At 48.7% G+C, this 26,147-nt stretch overlaps 1 long non-coding RNA gene across 1 annotated transcript, besides 4 other annotated features; it reads left to right on the top strand.

Annotated features, from left to right (window-relative positions):
- Positions 4,110-5,309: an enhancer, noted in NCBI's record as "BRD4-independent group 4 enhancer chr18:76336458-76337657 (GRCh37/hg19 assembly coordinates)". NCBI's record gives its function as "activates an origin of replication core promoter dependent on BRD2, P300/CBP, MED14 and CDK7 cofactors, and independent of BRD4, by STARR-seq in HCT116 cells {active_cell/tissue: HCT116}" and the evidence as "EXISTENCE:reporter gene assay evidence [ECO:0000049][PMID:35650434]".
- Positions 7,365-7,866: an enhancer, noted in NCBI's record as "NANOG hESC enhancer chr18:76333901-76334402 (GRCh37/hg19 assembly coordinates)". NCBI's record gives its function as "activates a minimal SCP1, AML or CMV promoter by ChIP-STARR-seq in primed H9 embryonic stem cells {active_cell/tissue: H9 hESC(primed)}" and the evidence as "EXISTENCE:reporter gene assay evidence [ECO:0000049][PMID:30033119]".
- Positions 18,399-18,939: an enhancer, noted in NCBI's record as "H3K27ac-H3K4me1 hESC enhancer chr18:76322828-76323368 (GRCh37/hg19 assembly coordinates)". NCBI's record gives its function as "activates a minimal SCP1, AML or CMV promoter by ChIP-STARR-seq in naive H9 embryonic stem cells {active_cell/tissue: H9 hESC(naive)}" and the evidence as "EXISTENCE:reporter gene assay evidence [ECO:0000049][PMID:30033119]".
- Positions 18,940-19,481: an enhancer, noted in NCBI's record as "H3K27ac-H3K4me1 hESC enhancer chr18:76322286-76322827 (GRCh37/hg19 assembly coordinates)". NCBI's record gives its function as "activates a minimal SCP1, AML or CMV promoter by ChIP-STARR-seq in naive H9 embryonic stem cells {active_cell/tissue: H9 hESC(naive)}" and the evidence as "EXISTENCE:reporter gene assay evidence [ECO:0000049][PMID:30033119]".
- LOC105372220 (uncharacterized) lies at positions 22,805-25,673 on the top strand. Its single transcript, XR_935674.1, has 4 exons — positions 22,805-23,055; positions 23,748-23,815; positions 23,903-24,030; positions 24,903-25,673. It is a non-coding gene; the product is annotated as an uncharacterized LOC105372220 (long non-coding RNA).
- Positions 25,674-26,147: the final 474 nt, after the last annotated feature.

Genomic DNA, 26,147 nt, shown 5'->3' with positions numbered 1-26,147 from the left:
CCAAACTAGAGCATTTATTTGACTATTAGATGTTTATTTTTATTTTTACGTATTTATTTTTTTGAGACAGAATCTCGCTCTGTTGCCTAGGCTGGAGTGCAATGGTGAGATCTTGGCTCACTGCCACCTCTGCCTCCCAGGTTCAAGTGATTCTCCTGCCTCTGCCTCCGAGTAGCTGGGATTACAGGCACCCACCACCACGCCTGGCTAATTTTTGTATTTTTAGTAGAGACTGGGTTTCGCCATGTTGGCCAGGCTGGTCTCGAACTCCTGACCTCAAGTGATTCTCCTGCCTTGGCCTCCCAAAGTGCTGGGATTACAGGTGTGAACCACCATGCCCAGCCTTGACTATTAGATGTATCTAATCACTGCCCAGTGAGTTTTTCTTCACTCCCTTCCCCTTAGTTTTGATGTCTCAAAATGTTGGTGCATCAGAAATGAAATTTAAAAGCCTCACTCCTTATCAAGAAGAAAACCTCTTTTAGCAAAGGTTTTTCATTTCTAAGACTAAGATTATTATTGTTTAGTCCATGATCTGAAAAGGATTTTATTACCTAAAAGAAGGCTGAAAGAGGAGTGCTGTGGCCTGGTGCTGGGATTTGGCCTGTCCCTGGGCAGGGGGCGCTAGACACAAACGCACCTCAGTTTCTCCTCTAAGGACAGCTGGGTCGGTGAGTCCACCCCAAGCTCTCCCTTCTGCCTCTGACACTCGGCAGTCCTTCGCTAGATTCCAGAACAACTATAGACTGGTAGGTGGTTCTCTGGCTCCAGCCCAGTGGCCCCTAGTGTGCAAGTCTCCTGAGGATTTGCCATAACATCCCACAGACCAGGCAGCATAAACAACAGAAGCTAACTTTCTCAGCTCTCCATGCAGAAGTCCAAGATCAAGGCGTGGGCAGGGTGGCTCCTCCCGAGGCCTCTCTCCTGGGCTTTCAGACGTCTCTCCCTCCCTGGTTCATCTCTCGGCTGTCCTCTGTGTCCGTGTCCTCCTCTCCTCTTCTCGTGAGGACAGGAGTCCTGTAGGGTTAGCGTCCTAAAGATTTCGTATCAACCTGGTTGTTTGCAAAGATCGCATTTCTGGATACTGCATGTGCGCCCGTACTTACGGGGGTCAGGACTTCAGCATCTTCGGGGGGACACAGTCCAGCCTGTGACACCTTCTTGTTGGGTTGTCGGGAGTTTGAGGACCTTTATGAAACCAGCACTTGGCTCTTCCCCAGAATCCACAATTCTAACCCTTACTTTCTTCGAGCCAACATGGCCCCAGGATTTTAGTGTGATCTGAGAGGTGCTGGTGCTGACATCAGTACCCCCACGTGTTCTTCTGCGCCTGACTGTGGGGCAGGTGGTTCTCATCGCGTCCAAGCCCGTCGGCTCAGCTCAGGTAACCTGGCTGCCAGGGAGTGTGCTGCACCTGATTTACAGCCGGTTCTCGACACATCTTGCAGCCCTCACTGTTGTTTTAGGACTAAGTCAGATATTCGCCCTCCAGATGGAGACCCCGGGGGCCCTTCATCTGCAGGCTAGAGTGCCCTCGATTCTGCCTCTGTTCCTGCTCCCACTCAGCTCCATGGTCCTGGGGCCTCCTTTTCTGGGGAATCCGTCCAGTTGGAAGTAACAGCTGCTTTCTCCTCCCTCAGCACTTGGCTCCATCTACCCTGGCTTCCTCCAGGTGGGACTGGCCTCTTGTACAGAACCCAGCAATGCAGGCAGCCAGGAGGAGGGGCCAGGCAGGCGCCGGCAGAGGTGAGGAGAATCCACAACGGGGCTCTTGCCTGAGCCAATGCTGGCCTTGGAGTCCTGGGGACCCCTGGGTGTTGAATGCCTCCTGGGGTGTGCATCAAGGAAGGGCTTTGCTGGCCAGGACCAACCTCAGAAGATTTCATGTTGAAGGAAGAGTCAAGCAACTTCCTGAAAGAGAACCCCTTGGCAAACTAGGGAGGAAGGAAAGGAGGAGAACGGGCTCAGAGACAGAGACAGGGCTGAGCACGGAGGGAAGGAGAATGGGTTCGGAGAAAGCTGAGCAGGGAGGAAGCAGGGGTGGTGGTTCTCCCAGGGGAGGCTTTGCAAGTGGAAGGACGGGGGTGGCCACTGGGTGATCATTTGGCAACTTCTCTCACAGGGGTAGCTTCCTGACACAGCTGAGTGCTTCTGTGATTTGAGAGGATACCAGAGTTTTGTATCTGAAAATATTTATGCTCATCATTATGCATAGGTTTTAATTATTGGGCAATTTTCATAAAACCCTTTCATGTGCAAAAAATTAATTAGCAACTATTTTTAAATGAGAAGTGTCACCCCCTCCCTGCCCCCACTCAGGCTACTTGGCCCCTTCTAAATTAAATACTAGAACTTAGAACTGCACAGAGAAAATAAATCTAATTTAGATATGAAGTATGAGTTACATACTGAAGGGGAACAGAGCCAGGCTCTGGGACAGCAGCTCAATACGTCCACTGAGCACCAGCTGTATATGCTATGGCTTTCTGCATGTTCCTTAGAATTTACCAAGCACTTTCTCATGGGTTATTTCAAGTTGGGAGTTGTTATCCCCACTTACACAGGGATGAAAAGGCTCTGGGAGGTGGAAAGAATGACCAATTCATACCAGGCATGTAGGGGAGTCAGGACTGCATCATTAGACCATTAGACCTGTAGATGGTAAACCCTTAGACGTTAGACCATTAGGCATTAGACCATTACACATTAGACTTCAGACGCTTAGATGTTAGATGTTATTAATAGATCATTAGACTTTAGACTGTCAGACATTAAACCCTTAGACATTAGACCATTAGGTGTTAGACGGTTAGATGTTAGACCATTAGACTGATATTACACCTTAGACATTAGATCATTAGAAGTTAGACCTTTAGACTTTAAATCCTTTGACGTTAGACTGTTAGATGTTAAACTGTTAGACCGTTAGATGTTAGACTGTTAAACATTAGACTGTTTGACCCTTAGACCATTAGATGTTTGACTGTTAGACCTTAGACCATTAGACGTTAGACTCTTAGATGTTAAACCCTTAGACGTTAGACGGGTAGACGTTAGATGTTAGATGTTAGACCATCAGACGTTAGACCATTCATTAGACCATCAGATGTTAGACTCTTAGATGTTAAACCCTTAGTCATTAGATGGGTAGACGTTAGATGTTAGATGTTAGACCATCAGACATGACTGTTCATTAGACCATCAGACATGAGACTGTTCATTAGACTATCAGACGTTAGACCGTTCATTAGACCATCAGATGTTAGACTCTTAGATGTTAAACTCTTAGATGTTAGACAGGTAGAAGTTAGATGTTAGACCTTAGACCATCAGACGTTAGATGCTTACATGTTAAACCCTTAGTCATTAGACGGGTAGACGTTAGATGTTAGATGTTAGACCATCAGACATGAGATTATTCATTATACCATCAGACGTTAGACCATTCATTAGACCATCAGACATGAAACTGTTCATTAGACCATCAGATGTGAGACCGTTCATTAGACCATCAGATGTTAGACCGGCCACATTCCCCATGTATGTCATCACATCTAGCAGCTGGGCCACCTGAAGCAGAGAATTTTGGAGAAAGCAAAGCTAATACTTGATGGGGCTCCATCCTGACAATGGTGGTACCTGTGAGGGTTACTGGGTTTTCACAGGGAGGGAGTCCCTTCCCCAGGTCCTCCCTGATCATTCGTCCTGGGTTTCCAGCTAAGAAGGCACTTTCAGTTTGGATGTTTCTCTGTCATCTAAAATCCCTTGTGTCCAAAAGCCAGCTCCAGATCTCCTCTGCTGAAGTGGGTTCCCGCTGCCGAGAGTACTTGGGAAGACAGTGTCTGGAAGGCATGTGGGGCAGCCGCTCATTGTCATGATCCGTGAATCAGTGACTCCAAAGAGTGTTCTGTGGACTCTGATGATGTTTGGAAAGTTTTACGTGAAGACAGAGAACGTCATGGAATGAAACTGAGCAGGACTGAGAACCGTGATTATTTCTTAGGTTGAGGCTGATGGGCTTTTCAATTCTTTCATTATTAAGCTCACCCAGTTTTGAATCTCAATCAAAATGCTATTTAAATTCCAAAACAGAGACTCCCTTGCAGCAAAGAGTGATGATGTGGTAGTTAAACAGAAAGGACCATTATGTGTCTCGTGGAAACGTGTAGGTGAAATTCATGACACTGGGAATGTCTCAGCAAGTGTGGTAATTTAAAAAGTCTGACTGGATCAGGGGACTAGGGTGTGTAGGGTGTGTATGTTTTTACTCAACCCCCATGTATTTAACATAAACCATATCCCCGATTCTGCCCTATGTGGAAATCCTACCTGGACCAGACTCTGGGCTGCACAGCTCTGATTGGTGAGAGATTCTTTGGAAATATTTCTTCACCGTGGAACATGGCCTGTTGGGATGGCGTTCTCTGCTGGCTGCGCACTGGTCAGTCCCCTGGTTAAAGGCAGAAGATGACCGTGTTCCAGCTGATGTCCTCTGTGTTCGGGAAGCTGGGTGGCCAGCAGGTTTCACTCCCCATGCAACTTCACAAGCACCAGGAAGTGCAGGCCACCCTTCGCCCTCCTTTCCCTAGCGGGGAGGTGGGGGTGGGGTGCCCTGGTGAGCAGGAAGTGCAGGCTGCCCTTCGCCCTTCTTTCCCTAGTGGGGAGGTGGGGGATGGGGGGCCCTGGTGAGTGTTTCTCAAGTCCACACACAGCCGGGCTGGCGAGTCACTTAGGTGGCAGACACGAGGGGCTCACCTTTCTGCTCCATGTTCTCGGGAAAGACAAGCTCACTTCTTTTAGAAGTTCATTAAAAGCTAGCCGCTCTTAGGGATTTTACTGCAAACCAATCAACCTAGACCTGTACATGAGTCTGACCTCACCCTGATTCACCGGCCTTCCATTTTGACTTTACCCATCAGTGATAGGAATTGATTTCAAAGGCTCTAAAATTAGCTCTGTACATCAAAGAATTGTTATAGTGTGTCTCTGCAACGTTGCTGTTTTACAGGTGCTGCTGGGCCGCCTGCTCTTAATTGGAAAAGCACAGCCCTGGGTGCAGGAGGCAGAGACTGCATCAAGCCTCTGGAAGGAAAGGCCCTGGGTAGAGGCTGGAGCACAGGGCTCTGAGCCAAACAAGGCTGCTCTACTGCCGAGGCCTGATGTAATTTCACTTGCTGACTGGCACTGCAGTGAGATAACCCTTTAATGAAGGAAGAGTACCCAGTTCCTGGTCAAAGTTTGCAATGTAATGCCCAGCATCCCCAAGGCTTCCTGCGATGACTGCCCCCCTCCCACCTGAAGAGTGCCATGCGGGCAGGGCTGGCAGCTCCTCTCCATCCCCACTGCTGACCACGAGGCCTGAAAATTAGCCACTTTTGTTTTAATTTATACTATACTTCATCTGAAGGGTCACAAATATGCTTCATTTTTTTTAAGTGCCTAATATTACTTTTACTGAGATAGTGTCTACACCAGCCCGCAGAAAGGTAATGGTTATTGAGGTAACAAGAAGAACGAACCAGACCCTCCACTTTCTCTTCAGTCGTGGGGAACGTGATGATTTCCAAGCTGTCTCATTTCCCCAATCCTCCCTTTCTTTCTGATTGTGTGGGTTGCGGCTTTGCGTACGCCATTCTGAAAAAATCAGGTCATTGCAGTCAAATAATTGGTCAAGTCAGTGAACAACAGAAAGTCAATCACATTGGCTGTTTGACTGAATCGACTGGGCTATTTGTCTCTCACAGACGTGACTGGATCACTACCAGAATAATCTGAGGGTGCCCTTTGCTGGTACCTAGGAAGAATGGCCTGGGTCCCATGGAGACATCTATCTCTGCCATGGGCTCCATCTCTGATGCCTTTGGAGTTCTCTTCATAGCCCTCAGCTTTGCTGGGTTTGGGTCTGAAGGAGCAGGAACCCCTCAGAGGGCTGTGCTCATGAAGCTCAGGACTCTGCGTTTTCTGCACCTTGTGGTGACAGCCTGCAGAGGCAGGTGTTGCTTCTCCGAGGGCCAGTAGCACCAGGGCTGACCCCAGGCCCAAGCCCTTAGCAGCTGGGCTAGAGGGGAGGGGGCCCTTCCTTCTCTCCAGCATGCTGGCTCTTCTTCTCTCTGCTGCCATAAGCTTGAGGGGAGTTTCACTCTGTCACCCAGGCTGGAGTGCAGTGGCGTGATCTCGGCTCACTGCAACCTCCGGCTCCTGGGTTCAAGTGATTCTGTTGCCTCAGCCTCCCAAGTAGCTGGGACCACAGGCATGTGCCACCATGCCCAGCTACTTATTTTTTTTTTTTTGTATTTTTAGTGGAGATGGGGTTTCACCATGTTATCCAGGATTGTCTTGATCTCCTGACCTCATGATCTGCCTGTCTTGACCTCCCGAAGTACTGGAATTACAGGCATGAGCCACTGTGCCTGGCCCACACACTTTTAAACAACCAGATCTCATGAGAACTCTATCACAAGAACAGCACCAAAGGGGGAAATCTGTCCCCATGATTCAATCACCTCCCACCAGGCTTCTCCAACACTGGGGATTATAATTTGACATGAGATTTGGGCAGAGACAGAGATTCAAACCATATCATGCTGCCCCTGACTCTTCCTAAAGCTCATGTCTTTCTCACATTGCAAAATATAATGATCTCTTCTCAACAGTTCCCTAAAGTCTTAACTCATTTCAACATTAACTCAAAAGTCCAAGTCCAAAGTCTCATCTGAGACAAGGCAAGTCCCTTTTGCTTATGAGCCTGTAAAATAAAAAACAAGCTAGTTACTTCCAAGAAACAATGGAGGCACATGTGTTGGGTAAATATTCTCATTCCAAAAGGCAGAAATCAGCCAAAACAAAAGGGCTACTGGCTCCGTGCAAGTCTGAAACCCAGAAGAGCAGTCGTTAAATCTTAAACCTCCAAAATAATCTACTTTGACTCCATATGCCACATCCAGGGCACACTGGGGCAAGAGATGGGCTCCCAAGGCCTTGGACAGCTCCACCCCTGTGACTTTGCAGGACACAGCCCCCTTGCTGCTTTCATGAGCTGGCTATGAGTGCCTGTGCCTTTTCCAGGCACACAGTGCAAGCTGTCATTGGATCTAGCATGCTGGGGTCTGAAAGACAGTGGCCCTCTTCTCACAGCTCCACTAAGCACTGCCCCAGTGGAAACTCTGTGTGGGGGCTCCAATCCCACATTTCCCCTCTGCATTCCCCTAGCAGATGTTCTCCACGAGGGCTTTGCCCCTGCAGCAGGCTTCTGCCTGGACATCCAGGCCTTTCCATATATCCTGTGAAATCTAGGTGGTGGCTCCCAAACCTCAACTCTTGCACTTTGCACAATGGCAGGCTTAATATCATGTGGACGCTGCCAAGGCTTACAACTTGCACCCTCTTAAGCAGTGGTCTGAGCTAAACCTGGTCTGCTTTTAGCCACAGGTAGAGCTGGAGTGACTGAGATACAGGAAGTAGTGTCCCGAGGCTGTGCAGGGCAGCAGGGCCCTGGTCCTGGCTCAGGAAACCACTTTTCTCTCCTATGCCTCTGGGACTGTGATGGGTAGGGTACTCTGGAGATCTCTGGAATGGCTTCAAGGCATTTTTTCCCATTGTCTTGGCAATTAACATTTGGCTTCTCTTTACATATGCAAATTTCTTCAGCCTGCTTGAATTCCTCCCTAGAAAATTGATTTTTCTCTTCCAACACATTTCTGGGCTGCAAATTTTCCAAACTTGTAGGCTCTGCTCCCCTGTGAAACATAAGTTCCTGTTTTAGGTTATTTTTGCTCATGCATATGAACATAGGCTATTAGAAGCATCCAGGCCACATGTTGAAAGCTTTGCTGATTAGGAATTTCTTCAGCCAGATACCCTAAATCAACACTCTCAAGTTCAAAGTTCACAGATTCCTAGGGCAAGGTCACAAAGCAGCTAATTGCTTTGCTAAGAAACAAAAGTGACCTTTGTTCCACTTCCCAATAAGTTCCTCATGTCCATCTGAGACCTCCTCAGCCTGAACTTCATTGTCCATATCACTCTCAGCATTTTGGTCCAACCATTCAACAAGTCTCTAGGGAGTTCCAAACTTTCATCTCCCTGTTTTCTTCCGAGCCTTTCACACTCTTCCAGACTCTGCCAGTTACCCAGTTCCAAAGCTGGTTCCACATTTTCAGGTATCTTTATAGCAATGCTCCACTCTTTGGCACCTATGTTCTGTATTAATCCATTCTCTCACTGCCACAAAAAATACCTGAAACTGGGTAATTTTTAAAGAAAATAAGCTTAATTGGCTCACAGTTCTCCAGGCTGTATGGAAAGCATGGTGCTACATCTGCTTGGGGAGGTCTCAGGAAACTTTCAATTATGGTGGAAGGTGAAGGGGAGGCAGACATCTTACATGGCCTGAGCAGGATGAAGGGGGGTGGGGAGTGCCACGCACTTTAGCCATGGATCTTGTGAGAACTCACTCACTGTCATGAGAACAGCAAGGGGGAAATCCGCTCCCATGCTCCAATCATCTCCCAACATATCCCACTTCCAACACTGAAGATTACAATTTGACATGAGATTTGTGCAGGGACGCAGGTCTGAAGCCTCCATGCCCCACACCCTTTGCTTTCATGTGATTCTCACAGGATGTGCATATGTAGGCTCAGCCAGAGTAACAGGGCTGCCTGCACCATGCCCCATGCCAACTCCTTGCTGGTGTGGCTTTCTAGCAATGCTACAACAAATCACTGCAGCTTAGTGGCTTAAAACCACACACATTTATTCTTCACAGTTCTGGGGTTAATGTTCAATAGGGGTCTCATTGGCTAAAAGTGGGGTGTCTGCAGGGTGAGTTCCTTCTGGGTGCCCTAGGGCAGAAACCATCCCTGAGTTTCCCAGCTTTGGTGGCTGCCCACACCCCTTGGCTCCTGGTCCCTCTTCCACCTCCAAAGTCAGCAGCACTGGCTGGCCTCTCACACAGCAACTTCCTGCCACCAGCTCTCTGGCCTTTCTCCCCGACATTGCAGAACCTCTGCCATTATGTCAGAGCACCTGGTCCATCCTGGGAAACCTCTTTAGTTAAACTTAGTTGATGGGCAAGCTCACTCCTGCTCACCTGTAACCATTCACAGCTTCCCAGGACTGGGACAGGGACATCTCCGGAGACTGCCGTCCCCCTCACCTGTAACCATTCACAGCTTCCCAGGACTGGGACAGGGACATCTCCGGAGACTGCCGTCCCCCTCACCTGTAACCATTCACAGCTTCCCAGGACTGGGACAGGGACATCTCCGGAGACTGCCGTCCCCCTCACCTGTAACCATTCACAGCTTCCCAGGACTGGGACAGGGACATCTCTGGAGACTGCCGTCCTCCTCACCTGTAACCATTCACAGCTTCCCAGGACTGGGACAAGGACATCTCTGGAGACTGCTGTTCCCCGATACTTGCTTTACAACTTGGTAAGTCAGCCAGGCTTCCCATCGTGCAGACACACTGCTGGCCAATGTCCCTTCTCATCTCCTACCCAGCACAGGTAGGCAGGGGTGTGGGGGGAGGGGGACCCTCTACAGAGGCTCCGCCACCACTCAGGGGCCCCACCACCACCCATGGGTCCTGCCACCACTCACGGGCCCCGCCACCACTCACGGGCCCCGCCACCACCCATGGGTCCTGCAACCACTCATGGGCCCCACCACCACTCACGGGCCCTGCCACCACCCATGGGTCCTGCCACCACTCACATGGGCCTCACCACCACCCACGGGTCCTGCCACCACTTACGGGCCCTGCCACCACTCACGGGCCCTGCCACCACCCACGGGTCCTGCCGCCACTCACGGGCTCTGCCACCACCCACGGGCCCCTTCACTACTCATGGGTTCCGCCACCTCTTACGGGTCCACACTCACAGGCGCCACTTCCTGATGCTGTTGCTCCATGAGGTCAGTCACTCCATGTGATTCACAGTGGGAAGAATGGGGGGTGTCAAGACTAGGCAATGTGTGCAGGGCCACCCAATTAGAAATGGCAGGAATTTGGATTTAAACACGGTTGTTTCTGACTTCAAATCTGACAATTTGCACAACACACATTTAAGAAACATTTGTATGTTTGCAGGAATTTGAGCTCTGAAGCCCGCAAAAGAATGAGTCCTTGCTGATGGGACACTGGCAGTGGCCTCCAGGGAGTGGCCTGTGACTGAGGTCCCTTGATCTGCTTGTGGATCTGCCGCTACATCTTTGGAGTTGAAACAGACACAATGGGAATCCACCCGTCAACTCTCATCATCAATACATTTCCGGTTCCCTAGAGGCCATGGCTGAAAATCTAGCTGGAAATCATTTTATGGATGAATGCCGGCTAACACCGTGGGGTTCCAGGTTCTGTGCTAGGTGGTCTGTCTAGGTGAGAGCACTAAATGTTCACTATGAGCCTGGAAGGAGGAGGACCCCATGACGCCCTTTCTGTAGATAAGCAAACTGCGCTAAAGGTGGTGATGACTCGCCCACTTCAGCCAGTGACCCGGCAGAAGGCACATCCCTGAACCAGGCTCCAGTGGGTGCGACTGTGCCTGAGGAGTTGTCTGGGGCTTTTTGTGGCAGCAGCCCAGGGATCAGGTGAGTACCCCTGCTGAGCTACCGATCAGGGAGTGGCAAGAAAAGTGTTTGCTGTATCTGAAATTGGTAAAACTATGAACTTTCCTACCTTATTTTCCACAAAAGTAGAAATTGAGGCAGGTATACACTGCATCAAATATTAAGTAGAAAGTAGAAAATTTACAACAACCAGACCTTAAAAAGTAAATGCTTACGTACAATGTGGCTCTGCCTTACAAGAGCTCACACTTAGTCATGTTGTTCAAACTCTATCAGCTTTAACTGTGACACTGCTTTCTTTTGGTCACTGAACATTTTTAATCTAGTCAAAAACTGCTTTGTTTTACAAAAATACTCAGAGTTGTTAGGTTTTATTTTATTAAAATCTTTATGACATCCATTCAAATGTAATTTTATAATTAATGACTATAATACATAGCTGCTATTTAATCAATATAGCTTAATGTTTCTGGTTTTAATTTGCAAACTACAAAAGAAGAGCTATTTTACTAACGTTTTATTTTGAGACAATTGTGCAGTTGTAAAAAAATAATAAAGAGAGATCCCATGCACCCTTCACTCAGTTTCCCCCAGTGGTAACATCCAGCATGATCACAGCTCAATGTCATGACCAGGAAGTGGCCACTGGCTCAATCCACTGACCTTATTCAGATCTCACCAGTTTTACATGCATTCGTGTGTGTGTGTGCACCTGTGCCTGTGTGTGTGTGCACATGTGGGTGTATTTTGTTCCCTGCAATTGGAGAGGGAAGGCTTTGTCATTCACCTATGATGTTAGCAGTAGGATGTTTTGGTAGGTGCTCTATTTCAAGTTGAGGAAATTTTCCTCTATTTTTAGCGAGAGTTTTTTTTTTTTTTCTCAACATAAATGGGTGTTGGATTTTGTCTAATTCTTTTTCTGCATCAATTGATCTGAGCGTATTATCACTTTTAGATTGTTATAGCGGATTTCTTTGGTAGAGTTAGAAATATTGAACAATCCTAGAATATCTGGAATCAATTTAATTTGGCAGCAGTGTATAAGTCTCTTAATATGTTATTGGAATCAATTTGCTAATATTAATAAGAGGACTTCTGCATCTAGATTCATTCGATACATTGGCCTATAGTTTTCCCTTTTGTCTGGGTTTGGTTCAGGGTAAAACTTGCCTCATAAAACATGTTGAAAAGTGTTTCCTCCTCTTCTATGTTCTGAGAGAGATGATAAAGAATCAATATTAAACATTTGGTAGAAGTCTTCATTGAAACAATCTAGGCCTTGGGATTTATTTTTTGAAAACTTTTAAGTTACAAATTCAATTTCTGTAATGCTTATAGAATCTTCAGATGATCTCATTTATTTTGGTAGCGTTTTGGTATATTTTGGGCTTTAATGGGCTGGTTTGTGTTTTCTAAGTTGCTGAATTTGTGACCGTAAAGTTGCCTGTAATATTCTCTTACCATTTCAATAGCTGCGGGAACTGCAGTGAAATCCCTGTTTCATTCTTGACACTGGTGATTTGTCTTCTGACTTTTTAAGTTTGTAAATATTTCGAGAAGTTATAATTATTGATTTGAAGAATCAGCCATTTTGTTTTATTGATTTTCTCTATTGCTTTCTTGTTCTCAATCTCAATGATTTTTGATTTTCTTTATTATTTCCCTTCTTCTACTTGCTTTAGTTAATTTTTCTCTTCTTTTTCTAGTTCTTGAGGTTGGAACTTAGATTATTGAGATTTTTATTCTTTAAAAAATGTAAGCAATTAGTGCTATGAATTTTCCTGTCAGCACGGCTTTAACTGTACCCCATATATTTGATATATTGGCCTTCTAATTTTCATTTGTTTTTTGGAGTATACACATTTAGGATTGTTATTTTTTTCCTGACTGATTCATCCTTTTCTCAAATGTAATATCCCTTCTTGGTTCTAATAATTTTTTTTTGCTTGGAAGTCTATTTTGTCTAATATTAATATAACCATTCCTGCTTTTAAAAAAATTGTTTGCTATATATATATATTCTTTTACTTTAAAAAACTACCTGATGCTATATTTGAAGTGAGTTTCTTATACACAGGCTACTGTTGGATAATGTTTTCTTTTCTTCTAACCTATTCTGCTAATCGCTGCCTTTTAATTGGTGTATTTAGATCATTTGCATTTATGGTAATTAGTGATGTATTCAGATGCAAGTTTTCCATTTTATTGCCTGTTTTCTGTTTGTAACCTCTGTTTCTCATTCTTCTGTTCTCTTTTCTTGTTTTCCTGTGAAAACTTTTAAAGCATACATCTTGAGGGGTTTGTCATGTTTTCAAACATATTGCCTTGTATAATTTAACTAGCAGTTGCTCCAGCTATTGTAATACACATGCGTAGGTTATCACAGCCTCCTGGTATTGATGCTTTACTACTTTGAGTAAGGTATAGCAAACTTACTTTCACTTAGATTCCATTATCCTCCCTACTTTTAAAAATATAATTGTCTTAAATATCTCCTGTACATGCAGTGATCAGCACATGACTTAGTGTTTTATAATTTTTGCTTCAACCATCAAATATGATTTAAGAAATTCACGGGAAGGCATTATACTATATTTACCAATTTTTTACCCATTTCAATGCTTACCCTTCCTATCTGAAGTTCCAACCATTCTTCTGTAATCTCTTCTTTTTTTTTTTTTTTTTTTCCGAGATGGAGTCTTTCTCTGTTGCCCAGGCTAGAATGCAATGGTGTGATCTCAGCTCACTGCAACCTCTGCCTCCCAGGTTTAAGCAATTCTCCTGCCTCAGCCTCCAGAGTAGCTGGGATTAGAGGTGCGTGCCATCATGCTTGGCTAATTTTTTTTTGTATTTTTAGTAGTGATGGGTTTCACCATGTTGGCCAGGCTGGTCTCAAACTCCTGACCTCGTGATCCACCCGCCTTGGCCTCCCAAAGTGCTGGGATTACAGGCGTGAGCCACTGTGCCCGACCTCTTCTTATTTATAGAAATTCCTTCATTATTTAAAGGTATTTTTGCTAGTGACAAGCTTTTCTTCCTCTTAAAATGTCTTTATTTTCCCTGATTCCTGAAAGAGATTTTTGAAGGATATAAAAATGTATGGTTGACAGATTTTTTCTTTGGTGCTTAGGAAATGTTCTGCTACTTCCTCTGGCTTTCTGCTTCCTTCTGTGGCTCTGGCTTTCTCCTTCTTTCTGTGGCTCTGAAGTGGTTTCAGATGAGAAATAACCTGTCATGGGAATTGTCATTTCCCTGTAAGTAAAGTGTCATTTCTGGCTGCTTTTAAGAATGTTTTCTCTGTTTTTAATTTTTAGAAGTTTAATTATTATGTATCTTGTCATGGATTTCTTTGGATTTGTCCAATTTTGGATTCACTCACTATCTTGAATTATTTATTTGTTTATTTATTTGCAGGATTTGGGAAGTCCATCCATGAAAGGTGTTTTAGTTCACGCTCTCTCCTTTCCTTCTGGGACTCTGAGGGCAAGAATGTCGGCTCTTCATTTCTCGTCCCGCAGGTCCCTGACGGCGCTTTTATTTCTTTCAATCTTTTTTCCCGTCCATTGTGCAGGTTGGGTATATGCTAGTGTTCTGTCCTCAAATACATATATTCTCTCCTCTGCCGTTTTCACTCCACTGAGCCAACTCAGCAAGTTTTACGTTTTAGTTATTGCCTTTTTTGATTCTATCATCTTCACTTGGTCCTTTTTTATAGGATCTATTTCTTTGCTGAGATTTTCCATTTTTCACTTGTTTCAAGAGAATGTATAATTGCTACGGAAGCATTTTATGATGGTTGCTTTAAAGTCTTTGTCAGACATTTCAGCACTGGTTCATTTCAGTGTTGGTGTCTGTCAATTGTCCTCTCATCTGCATTGTGACTTTTTTCTGCATCTTCCTGTGATGAGTGAGTTGATTGGATCCTGGCCATTTTGATGACATTTGAGACTCTGGATCCTACTTAGGAACGTGTCTTAGCAGGCAGTCTTCCTGGTGAGGTGTGGGTGGGTGCGTTCAGCTTTCTGCAAGCCCCCTCCTGAGTCCTGACACCTCTCTGGCCACTGTGGGGGACCAGCTCACACTGCCTCACTGCAGATGAGCTGAGGGGGGCATTCAGTTTCCTGTTGGTCCTACTGATGCCTTCCAGGGAAGGTGGGCAGCAACTCGTATAGCTCATGGCCTCTGAGCAGAGGTGCTGGCTCAGCTCCTGGCTGCAGGTGACACCAGGAAGGTGGATGGGAGGGCAAGCTGGGCACGGCAGTTCCAACCCCTACTCAGTGCCACGGTTGGGACGTCAGCGGAGTTGCACCATCACCTCTGAGAGTGCTGTGGAGGTTCAGTGTCTGGTCAGCCTGTGACGCTGTGGGGGGCCTGTGTGTTCCATGGGTGTTTGGTAGAGCAGAATGGGTGTTGCTGACACACCTTTCTGTTCTCTGGGGCCGCCCTTCTCCCCGGCCTTCTCCCTGTCATAGGAAATAGCCTTCTCCTGGATTTTCTTTCTGTGCCTATTGGCGGCTCCAGCTTGGAGGTTTCTGCAGTTCCTGGACTAGGACACGCTGGGGATCTGCCCCAGGCCACCCTCAAGCCCTGGGGACCTCATCTGTCCAGCTCCTCTCCTTATTCCAGAGTCTTCTCTCTGTATTTCCTGTGTTGTGCCCAGGGCTTTAGTCCTAACACTGGGCCTGAGAGGAAGGGCTGCTCCATCTTAGTGGAACCAGATGCTCAAAAAAAGCTATTTAGACATTTTAATTATTCTTAAATTAAAGATTTTGCCTCTTTGGATAATTTTTTCAGGGATGATGTCTGATTTCCTTAATCTGTGATTAACCTTTGATTGGAAACTGTTCTAAGTTTTCCAAAGACTGCCTCCCCTGTCTCCTTCACTAACTTACACCCTTACCACTTGCATGGGAAATGCAAGCTTGCTTTTTTCAAGGGGATCCTGAGCTTCTCTCAAGCGTTTGGAGTTTCCTATGCTTCTTGCAGATTTTCAGCCACAGAAAAGCTTTTACCATTCATTCTCAGGCCAGGGTCACACATTATCTTCTTAAAGGACAAAATGAGATTGTATGTATCTGGTTTAGAGGTTGTGATGAAGACTCTGTTGATTATCAGATGAAGGACAAGCAGTCCCTACGCCTTCCTCTTAGAAAATCACAGTTTGCTAAAATGTCTCCTGACAAAATCCTCTTCAAATATTACGTTTCTAGGCCCTTTTATAATCTCCATCTAAGTGGGTACCAGGATCCTATAACTGAGTCTCAAGGGTGCCCCCTGAGATTCCTGCTTGGTACCCTGACCCCTGTCCTGGTGCTTCTGTTGAATTTTCCACTTTAATGTCTCCAAATGTGAGGTTCCTGCCCAGCCTCTTCTCATTTTATGCAGTCATCCCACTCGGCCTAGAACTTTAGTGAAATTTCCATCTCCAGTCTCAAACTTTAGACCTGGTTGTTGTTTTTTTCACATCGCTTAACTGGATATCTCTATAACAGACCTAAAATTCTCCCTCCCTCATCCACACACATGCACATGGACACAGAACACACACATAGGCTCACATGCACACATACAGCACACACATGCACACACACAGGACACATATGCTCATGTGGACACACATGTACACATATACATCACACACATGCTCATGCACACACACGCACATGGACACAACACACATGCTCACATGGACACACATGCACATGGACACAGCACACACAAGCTCGTGTGCACACCCACACACCCATGGACACAGCACACACATGCTCACGTGCACCCACATGCACATGAACACACAGCACACACATGCTCACGTGCACACACATGCACATGGACACAACACACATGCTCACATGCACACACATGCACATGAACACACAGCACATGCATGCTCGTGTGCATACACACACAGCCATGGACACAGCACATATACATACAGAGATGCATAGCATTGGCATACACGAACATACACACCAATGCACACACTCACCAAACCTGTTTCTCCTTTTGTGTTTCTATCCAGATGAGGGCACCTCTGCTCACTGTGGCTTTGCACCACCTCATAGAAGCTTTGATGGTTCTCCAAGCTGCTTCTCTTCCTGGTTCCCACTCCTCTGCCCATGTTGTCTCCACGTGCTCTTCATCCCAGGGCTTCAGGAGCGGCTGCCGCCTCCCCCAAGTCACAGGCCCCGGCTCGAACTCACTGCTCCTTCAAACTCCACTGCATCACCTGGCCTTGGACATACTTCATCGGGCCGCCTGTCAGCACCACCATCTCCCTGCAAGGCCAGGAGCCCCGGGGTGAGGGCAGCGTGGCTCCACTCTGGAAGACCTCCCTGCCAGCCCAGTGGCGGGGGTGGGGGGTGGGGCTCGGGAACGGCCAAAAGGAAAAGGATGACATTCTTGGGCCGGAGGACTGTGAAACCCAGACTGCAAACAACTTCACTCCCCTCACGTGTGTCTTTGTGAGGGAGAAGCGCATTCATCGTATCTGTGAAGTGTCTAATGGAGGCCCCATTGTGCACTTCAGGGCCATCTGGAAGGGGCCTGACTCCGGCCCCTGCAAGGCGGTGGATGCCAGCGCTCAGACATGACGCAGTGCACAGGGCCCAAAGTTTTAAAGGCCATCGGTTTAAAAGTGGGGCTTTTAAGGGACTAAAAGCAAGTTTTCTCAAGACCTCTCAAAACAGAAGGCTCCAATGGTGGGAATAAACTCCTGAGGAGGAAGGAGGAGTTTAGGATGCAGCAGTCACATTCAGGACGCACGGCTTAGGGAGAGGAGGGGGAGAAGGGCTGGGTTCTCCCCCTGGCTTAGGGAGAGGAGGAAGAGAAGGGCTGGGTTCTCCCCCTGCCTTAGGGAGGGGAGGAGGAGAAGGGCCGGGTTCTCCCCCTGTTGATTCAGCTCGGTGTTTTCCACGGAGCGGTTTGGGGCTCGGGACACCAGGGAAACCATGATGGACACCTGCGTGCCAGGGCTGTTCTGGGACTCAGTGTGAGGCTGATGGCCTCATCCACCTGGGCAGGTGGGGCAAGGGGTGCCAGGGGTGAGCTTGCAGGGTTACACTGTCCAGGAGGTGTGGGAATATGAGGTTGTGGGGTGTGCAGATGTGGGGTGTGGGGGGTGTGGGAGGTGAGGGGGTATATGGGTATGGGGCATGGGATGTGGGGGTTTGAGGGGTGTGGGGTGTGGGGGTTTGAGGAGTGTGGGGGTGTGGGATGTGGGGGTGTGGGGTGTGGGATGTGGGGGTTTGAGGGGTGTGGGGGTGTGGGGTGTGGGGGTTTGAGGGGTGTGGGGTGTGGGATGTGGGGGTGTGGGGTGTGGGGGTTTGAGGGGTGTGGGGGTTTGAGGGGTGTGGGGTGTGGGATGTGGGGGTGTGGGGTGTGGGGGTGTGGGGTGTGGGGGTTTGAGGGGTGTGGGGGTGTGGGGTGTGGGGGTTTGGGGGTTTTGAGTGCGATCTTTCTTTGGAGGCCTGGAACACATTCTCTCCCACCTATGAATGTCTAGATGCTTGCTTAGAATCAGAATGACTTGGTATAATTTTATTTTAAATGCACTCCTTATGAGGGCAAAACCCGGGAAATCTATATTTATGTCTTATCAAACCAACTGGAAATGAGAAGTGCCTGGGCCCAGGTCAGTGGGTATCGTTCCATTCTCTATTTCTTTCCTAACAGGAGTCCTTGAACCAGGAGGGAAAGGTGAGTGGATGGCAGGGACGACGGGGCCCGGGGGAAGCAGCACGGGCTGTGTCCTAAGGATCCTCCACCTGCTCATGTCCAGGAGCACGAGAGACCTCTTGTTTATGCCTTCAGTTAACATCAGTCCATTGTATCGAAGGTCTCAGGCATTCCGTATAGGCTGCCATGGGCCCAGAACCTGTGAATCCAATCTCACTGGACGCCGGCCTCCGTACCGGCACCTCCCTGTGACCCGGGCCAGGTTGCTTCGCACCCAGCTCCTTGCAAAGTGTCTCAGGTTCCTCTCTGGCAGGGTGCAATCCAGACTCGGTTGATCTCCATAAGGCCGTCTAAACTTGGATGAAAAGGCCCTGCAATGCCAATTATTATTATTATTATTATTATTATTATTTAAAAAGTGAGTTACTCTGCCAGGAAGCTGCCCCAAGCTCACCCAGCTCAGATTATGACGCTAATTATAGTGATTATGAAGAAGAGAGCGCGTGATTGCTACCGACCCCCCTCGCTGCCCTGAGAACAAATGCGAGGGACAATGGACGGCGGCTCCGCCCTTGCCGGGCTGCCATGCGGGCGATCCCTGACCCGCTCCCTCCCGTTCATTAGCAGCGCTGGTCGCCAGGACGCGGCCTCTTCAATCATTGCCGACCACCCCCGGCTGCCATGCACGGAGACAGACGCCGCGCGGCCGGAGAGGCCGGAGGTCGAATGTGAACTGCGGCGTTGCCGGGTGCCCAGGCGAGGCGGTGGGGTCGCCGTCGGGGCAGGCCGCTGTGGCAGCCTCTGTGTGTGTAGGAAAGCCGCTCTGCATGCCGGGGTGCGGCACCTACTGTGTTTTTGTTTTCTCCTTGCAGCTGAATGCACTCAACAGTTTTCCATTTCTCTTTTCCTTTGGTGCAGGGGGTGGGCAGAGAGTGGTGGTTTCACTCGGTCAGTTTTCTGGAGCTGCAAGGCTAACATTCATAGCAAGCAAGGGGACCTCCTTCGCCTGGGTTCCCTCTGCCCCTGCTCCGAGCTTCCAGACTAATGTGGCCTGGAAGCTTGGGAGGTTTCTGCGTCTCCGCCACCTTCCAATTTGCAGTGGCCGGCCTCTGAAGACTGACAGGCCGCAGCGCCGGTGCCAGTGTAAATGAGCCCATTCATTTCCTGCCGCTGGCATATGGCATGTCATTGTCCGCAGTCACCGAGGCAGAAGTGATGCAATTTGTTGGCATGTCCTGCTGCAGAACAGACTCTCCATCCCACTGAGCCCCCAAGAAAACAACAGAAGCCACGAAAGGGCAGCCAAAACCTTCACAGCTTCATCAAGCACGCACATACGGCACAGGGACGCAGGCAGCACACTCTCCATTTCTGTGCCTTCAGTGGGAAGGGCAGAGGGATGGAGGAATCTCAGAGCTTCTCAGCTCTCACTGTAACCACAAATAATGCCCGAGTCACGGATACCGCAAACCATTCTCAAGATGTCGTTCAAAACAGTCTTCCTTTTGCACGTCTATTTCTACTTTTGTTTCTGACAAACTGAACCACAGCAGAGACTGAAACAAGCCAAGTGGTGAGAGTTTAAATGCATCCTCAGCAGCAGGACACAACATACATCCAGCACGGCTCCTGCGGGAAAGCGGGTGGCTGCTTGTGGAAGGGTCCAGGTGTTGTTTCATTAGGAAAAAAAAATGATGCATCATGTTTGCTGGGAAAAGTCAAAGCACAGCTGCATGGCCAGGGGGAGCTGCATGGCCAGGGGGAGCTGCATGGCCAGGGGGAGCTGCATGGCCAGGGTGTGGTCAGGTTCACACCCCCGGGAGCTGGGCTTTACAGAGCAGCCCCATCCAAAGGTTGCAGCCAATCTGAAAACAGGCAGAAGCATTTGGCTCCATACAGTCTGCATGTTCACAACTGTGATAAGGACATGCTAAAGTCCAGGCTGGTGGGATCGCTCCCATAATGGATTTGAGAGGACCACGTGATTCACATGTTGTGATGAAACATATGAGCCTTGCATCTGTGTGGTGTCACTGAAGCATGTTTACAGGAGAGGAGTCCAGCTGAGCCTGCCAGTGAAGACAAGCACTAGGTGCCCACACACAGTTAAACTATTACTGTGAGAAACAGGCCCACGTGAGTGCAGCAAGGTGACCTACAGGTGGCTGCAGACCTCTGTGATTTAGAAGCTGCCTGGATCTGCAGCATCCAAAGAATCTTTCTGATCTTCATGATCATTGATCTGAGAATGGTTCATGATCACTGTCTGAGAAGGTTCTAAAATTCCTTCTAGCTCCAAAATTCCTCAACTTGATCATGGATGGCTCCTCCTCAGCGTTCATCAAGTCAGGAGTTCAGTGGCCGTGAACAGGTGGTCCCTGTTAGGCTAGGCTCCCTCACACTGGGAAGGCTGGCTGGTCCATGGTCCTGCTGGGTGTCAGGTGTCATGTGAAATGCATGGGACAGAGTGAAATGCACTAAAGTGACAGTGGTCTTCATACTGAATCTCATAATTCAGGATATGAAATTGGGATCTGAGACCAAAGGCTGAGTGCAGCTTTGTTTGAGAAGCTAGTGCCTGAGCAGGGGCACAGACCATGGTTAGCTGCTTGTTAGAAAAGCCGGTCACTGAGAGGGGCACAGACCATGGTTAGCTGCTTTGCCTTGGAAGTTTCTTTAGGTTTGGGACCACTTCTCTCTACCTTTATTAATATTGCAGTGAATAGTGCGGCATGCAGAGAGGTACTGAACAAAGACATTTTGATGAATTCATATTGATGCATTTACCTGCAGAGAAAATGAAAATAAATTAATTATTAGCTTAAAAAAGAATGTAGGAATAGAACATTGCAACTTACATTCTTAGGAAATTTAAAAGTTTTCCATATTAGAAAACAAGTAAAAAACCCCTCTACATTTTGTGAAAGATATTCTATTTCACTTTCTTATTGTAAAAAAGGAAAATGATTGAAAAGGGAAGATAAATGAGCATGACACACATTCACTGCTTTTGAGTTGCAAGCACAGTTACAGATAGGAGAAAAAAGATACAAATACTTATTGATGACTCATTTGTGTTCTGAGCACTAGGAATACACCAATGAACAAAGGGACAAAAATTCCTGCCCTGGAAGAGCATAAAGTCTGGTGAGCAGGGGACTTCTGCTCCTGGCAAGACGGAGTAGCGGGACATTTCTGATCCCTCCCACCAAGCACAACCGAAACGCTGGACGTGATCCTTGCCTAAACCTGAAGGGCCCTGACGGTGGTTAGGAGGCCGTCTGGAGATCTCAGGACCAGGGAAGCCAGGGCGGTGGCTGCCTGCATTTTCCCATGGCCTCATACATCCCAGACTGGGAGGTGAAGAAAGTGGTGACCGGGGAACACCTACAGGCACAAACAAAACAGCAACAACAAAAACCAACCCAATAGAAGCCTCATCCTTCTAGGCAGAGGACCTAGAATGGGACAGCCCAGTAATACAGAAAACGTTCAGACAGTGACTGCCTCACCCCAGCCAAATGCCCTGAGCAGCTGGGGTCATTCACACCAGCAAAGGCTGGGGCCCCGACTTCCCCTCGTCAGGCTGTCATGGGGCAACCCGGCCCCCACCAGGTGGTCTCAGAGAAGGTCGCGTGGGGAGCTGCCATTTGGCCCCCCACTGGCCTGTGATGAACCCTGGCCTGGCGTGGTCACTGGGGAGCTGATGTCCACTCCCCTGGGAAGGAACAAGGTCCCTGCCCCTCCCTGCAGGGTAGTCTCCGAGGAGGCCAGGTTAGTCAGGACTTTCACCCGCCCAGGGGCAAGGAGTCCCCCAGTAGTGTCAGTGGGTGCCCCAGTGGAAGCTGGGACTACCACAGCTCCCCAGGCAGGGATGGGGCTGGGTGGTGGCTGGACTTCCCTTCCACCTGGCACAAGTTTGGAGTTAGCGTCTCCAGGTATCCACTAAGCAATGTCAGGAGAAGCCGACCACAACTAACGTTTTGAGTTAGGCCCAGAGTCTCAGAAGCAGCATGGTGTCCGAGCTTCAGACCCACGCTGCTCATTAGACCAAGAGCCCCAAGATCTCAAGCTGAATGAACAGAGACAACCCACAGAATCCACCCAGGGGGACACGTGGGACTGTCTCCAGGGTCTGATGAACTGCAGTGCACCCAAGCAGAGAGCACCACTTAGCAATGAAAGGCACAAACCCAACATGCTGGCCACCAGGATGGACTCAAACGAAACAGGCTGCGTGGAGGAAGCCATGTCTGCAAAACTGCCTTGAGGGAGCCACGCCCACCCGACGGAGCCACACCCACCGTGAGGGAGCCACGCCCACCACCAAGGAGCCACGCCCACTATCAGGGAGCCACACTCACCCCAGGGAGCCACGCCCCCGCGGGGGAGCCATGTCCGCAAGGCCTCGGTGTACACAGCCCTCCTGAGGGTGATGGAACTACAGGGGTGGAGGACAGATTCGGCGGTTCCAGGGGCTGGGGAGGAGGGGGTGGGAGGGAAGTGGCTGCGGCTACAAAAGGCCCGCAGGAGGGACCCTCGTGTGAGGGATGCGTCTGTGTCTGTCCTCGTGCTGAGATTTTACTGTCATTTTTCAAGTGGCGGAACTGGGTAAAGGACGCCAGGCATCTCTCTCTTCCTGACAATTGCATGCGTGTCTACAGTGATCTCAGCATACAAACTCCAGGCACCATGAAGGACATGGAACCCACGTGGGCCACGGCAGTGCCATCCTTGCTGTCACACGGTTTTCTGTTGGCCGAGGGGGCGGATAGGAAACAGCTCACGTGTGAAACAATCACAGGTTGTGCTAAGAGCTGTGAACATCAGATCTCGGTCGGAGGGGATAACAGGACACCCTACCGTGGGCGAGCATTGTCCAGAAAGTGGATGAGGGAAGGCGCAGGCTGGCAAAGCTGCACTTGGGGAGGAGGGAGGGCGGCCACGGGGGGCTGGACCTGGGATCTGGAAGACGAAGCAGCTACAGGAGGGGTTCAAAGAGCCACAGGGGACCCTCAAAGGTCTAAAGCTGAGGAGTGATGAGTCTGGATTTGCATTTAAGTAAACATTACTCTGGAATCTCTTGGGCAATGGGGTTGAAGAAAGCCAGTGCAGAAGCCAGGAGATTCATTGGAAGGCCACGCCAGCTCACTCAGAGGGAGGCAAGGGCCTGGGCCGGGGGCAGCAGCGCCTGCAGATAGATAGGGGAAGACTGGAGATGTAGGGTGGGGAGGGCAGGGGTCATGGAGCGTAAAGTGTGGTTTCCACGTGTATGGGCTGAGCTGACCGGGAAGTGGACGTGCCACCTGCAGATCTTGGGCTAAATCCTATGGGGCACAATCCAGGTTTACTCAGATATTAAAATGACGCCGAGGACCCCAGTGTGGAGAAAACTTGTATGTTACCATTTACATAGGAATTATCCCCAAGCCGGGCAGTTCTCCTTGGCTCCTGGGTTGTGTGTCCTGTTCGTCACGCGTCTATTCTCATCCTTAGGATCCTGTGTGTCCAGTCCTAAACAGGACTATCTGGCTATGTGATGCTCCTTGTCATTATCTAATAATGTAAGTGAACGTTTTTGGATATGTGGCAAAGTAACATTCTGAATTATGACACTGAAGGCTTTACGACTTTTTAAACTCTGTCCTCAGGATGATTCTCCCTCCTTGAATGCTGACTCCCTCTCTGCCCAGAGAGGAGAACATGGACCCCTCGCCATGGGACTGGAAAGTAAAGGCTGGAGAGCCTGGCACTTTGGTCCAACGGCCGCGGCCCCAGTGTAAGAAGATGTTTTCCTTTCTGCACACTAGATAAAGGCTGCTGTTATTTAGGAAAGGAAAGATGTGGGCTTGGGGTCCACAAATAGCAGAGGGGACTGAAGTTCCTGGTGACCACAGCTGAGAGCCCCGTTCAGCTCTGGGGGTAGTTGATACCATGGCATGCTGGGGCCATCATCCCCTTCTGACATCTGTTCCACAGCCTGGCTCGCTGTCTGCCCTCCTAAGACGGGGTTGCAGCCCAGACCCTGTAAGCCTGGTACTCCATACCCTGAATGCACAGATCAATCCTGCTTCCTGCCAGCTGTTCTACCGAAATTATGAATAGAGCCCCTTTCACTCTCAACAACATCATGGCTGAGGCGATCAATTATATGGTCACCCTATGAGACCAGGAGAGGAGGGCCCCTTTGTCTTGACCAAGGCAGGAACTAGGTGGCACCGGGGCAGAGCACTCCTGTCCCAGGTGTGAGAACTCATCCTAGGAATGCCTAGGTCCACGTCTCCGAGAACAGCACAACTTACCTTTCAGGGAACGTGCTTCTAATGGTTTTTTTCTTTTTATTACCAAATTTGACTTAGAAAGTCAAATGGTTGCCTATTAGAGAAATTCTATGGTGTTGCTTACTGAACCACACAATAAAGTGTGAAACCTTGACAGTGTCTGGTAGTATACAATAATACACCTAAATCTACTCTTTTTTTCCTCGGCGATAGGGTCTTACTTTGTCACCCAGGCTGGAGTGCAGTGGCGCCATCATAGCTCACTGCAGCCTCCACCTCCCATGTAGCTGGGACTACAGGCTTGTGCCACCATGCCCGGCTAATTAAAATCCACCCTTCAAAAAAATACTGATTGAATTCACTATTCCAGTTGCTACAGATCAAAAACTGCTGAGACGCGCTTCCTGTCCTCCAAGAAGAGAAGCATTCCACACAAGGCAGATGGATATTAAGTGCAGAATCACGAGAGTGTGACGTGGACGAGATCAGTGAGCAAAGGGCCCACAGAGAACACAGTCTAAGAACAGGCGGGATTTCAGCTGAATCCTGTGTGGAAGTCAGAATCATGGACTCCATGTGTGGAAGCTGAGAAGGCACGAGGAAACCCAGCTGCAGGCGGAGTCTAGAGATGGACACGGACAGGGTCCCAGGGACTGCGAATGCCTGGAAGGCACACAGCACAGTGAACAGATCGGGGAAAAGCACGGCTTCCTTCAACGAGAGCAAGCATTACTATAAGGTCTCTCCCCAAACTTGTTCAGTTTTCCTGGGGCTCCCATTCCCTGGATTCTGTTACTTTCTCCTTAAATATTGATGGCTCGTTGCTAGCAGTTCCCCCCAAACCATGACGTAACTGTGTCTTCTGTCAATTTCACCACGTTCTTGCAAATGGAGGCAACTCCTGATAAGACCCAATCCCAGATCAGCCTGGGCTGCCGAGAGCTTCCAAGAACATCAGGTAAATGGAGACTGATGCTAAAGTCACAGCCGCCGAGTTCAGCAGGTTCTTAAAGCCATCGTGAGCCTTCTCCGCCTCTTGCCTGCTTTGTCTTTACTTTTTCCTCTCTGTGGTTTTTTTCCCCCACCAGCATTTAAATATCAACAAGTCTTTCTTACCTGAAAAATAAATACCTTGAACAGACTTTTCTGCTTTTGGTCAAGATAGAGTCATAGGAACCTTAGGTACCCTTCTGTTTGAAACAACTAAAAAAATAGATGAAATGCATGAAAAAGTGGCACTCCAGACATCGGACCTCAGGCAACAAAAGAGCAATCCATTAAAGACAGGAGGCGGGAGAGGCATGCTGGGGATTAAACAGCATCCAGACTCTCCTAACATCACTGGGAGAGTCTCCCAGGCACGACACAGTGCGGGACCCAGGGAGAGCCTGGTGGTCCCCCTGAATGGGGGAATCAGAGCTGGGCATCCAGTTAGACAAGAGAGTTAGAGTCCCCAGGGCAGAGAGCTGGAGAGAAGAGATCTTCAGAGACAATTCGCCAGAGACCTGCAGATCTTGAGTTAAGTCGAGTGCAGTTCAGCAGGTCGGTCCTGCAGGGACCATGCCCGGGGCCAGAGGAGGAGCCCCCCAAAAGGATGAGTGGGAGCAGCACCCCG

Source organism: Homo sapiens, chromosome 18 (assembly GCF_000001405.40).
Source record: "Homo sapiens chromosome 18, GRCh38.p14 Primary Assembly".
Classification (NCBI taxonomy): Eukaryota; Metazoa; Chordata; class Mammalia; order Primates; family Hominidae; genus Homo; species Homo sapiens.
The sequence above is the reverse complement of the archived record's forward strand: the minus strand, read 5'-3'. Positions and strand labels throughout refer to the sequence as shown.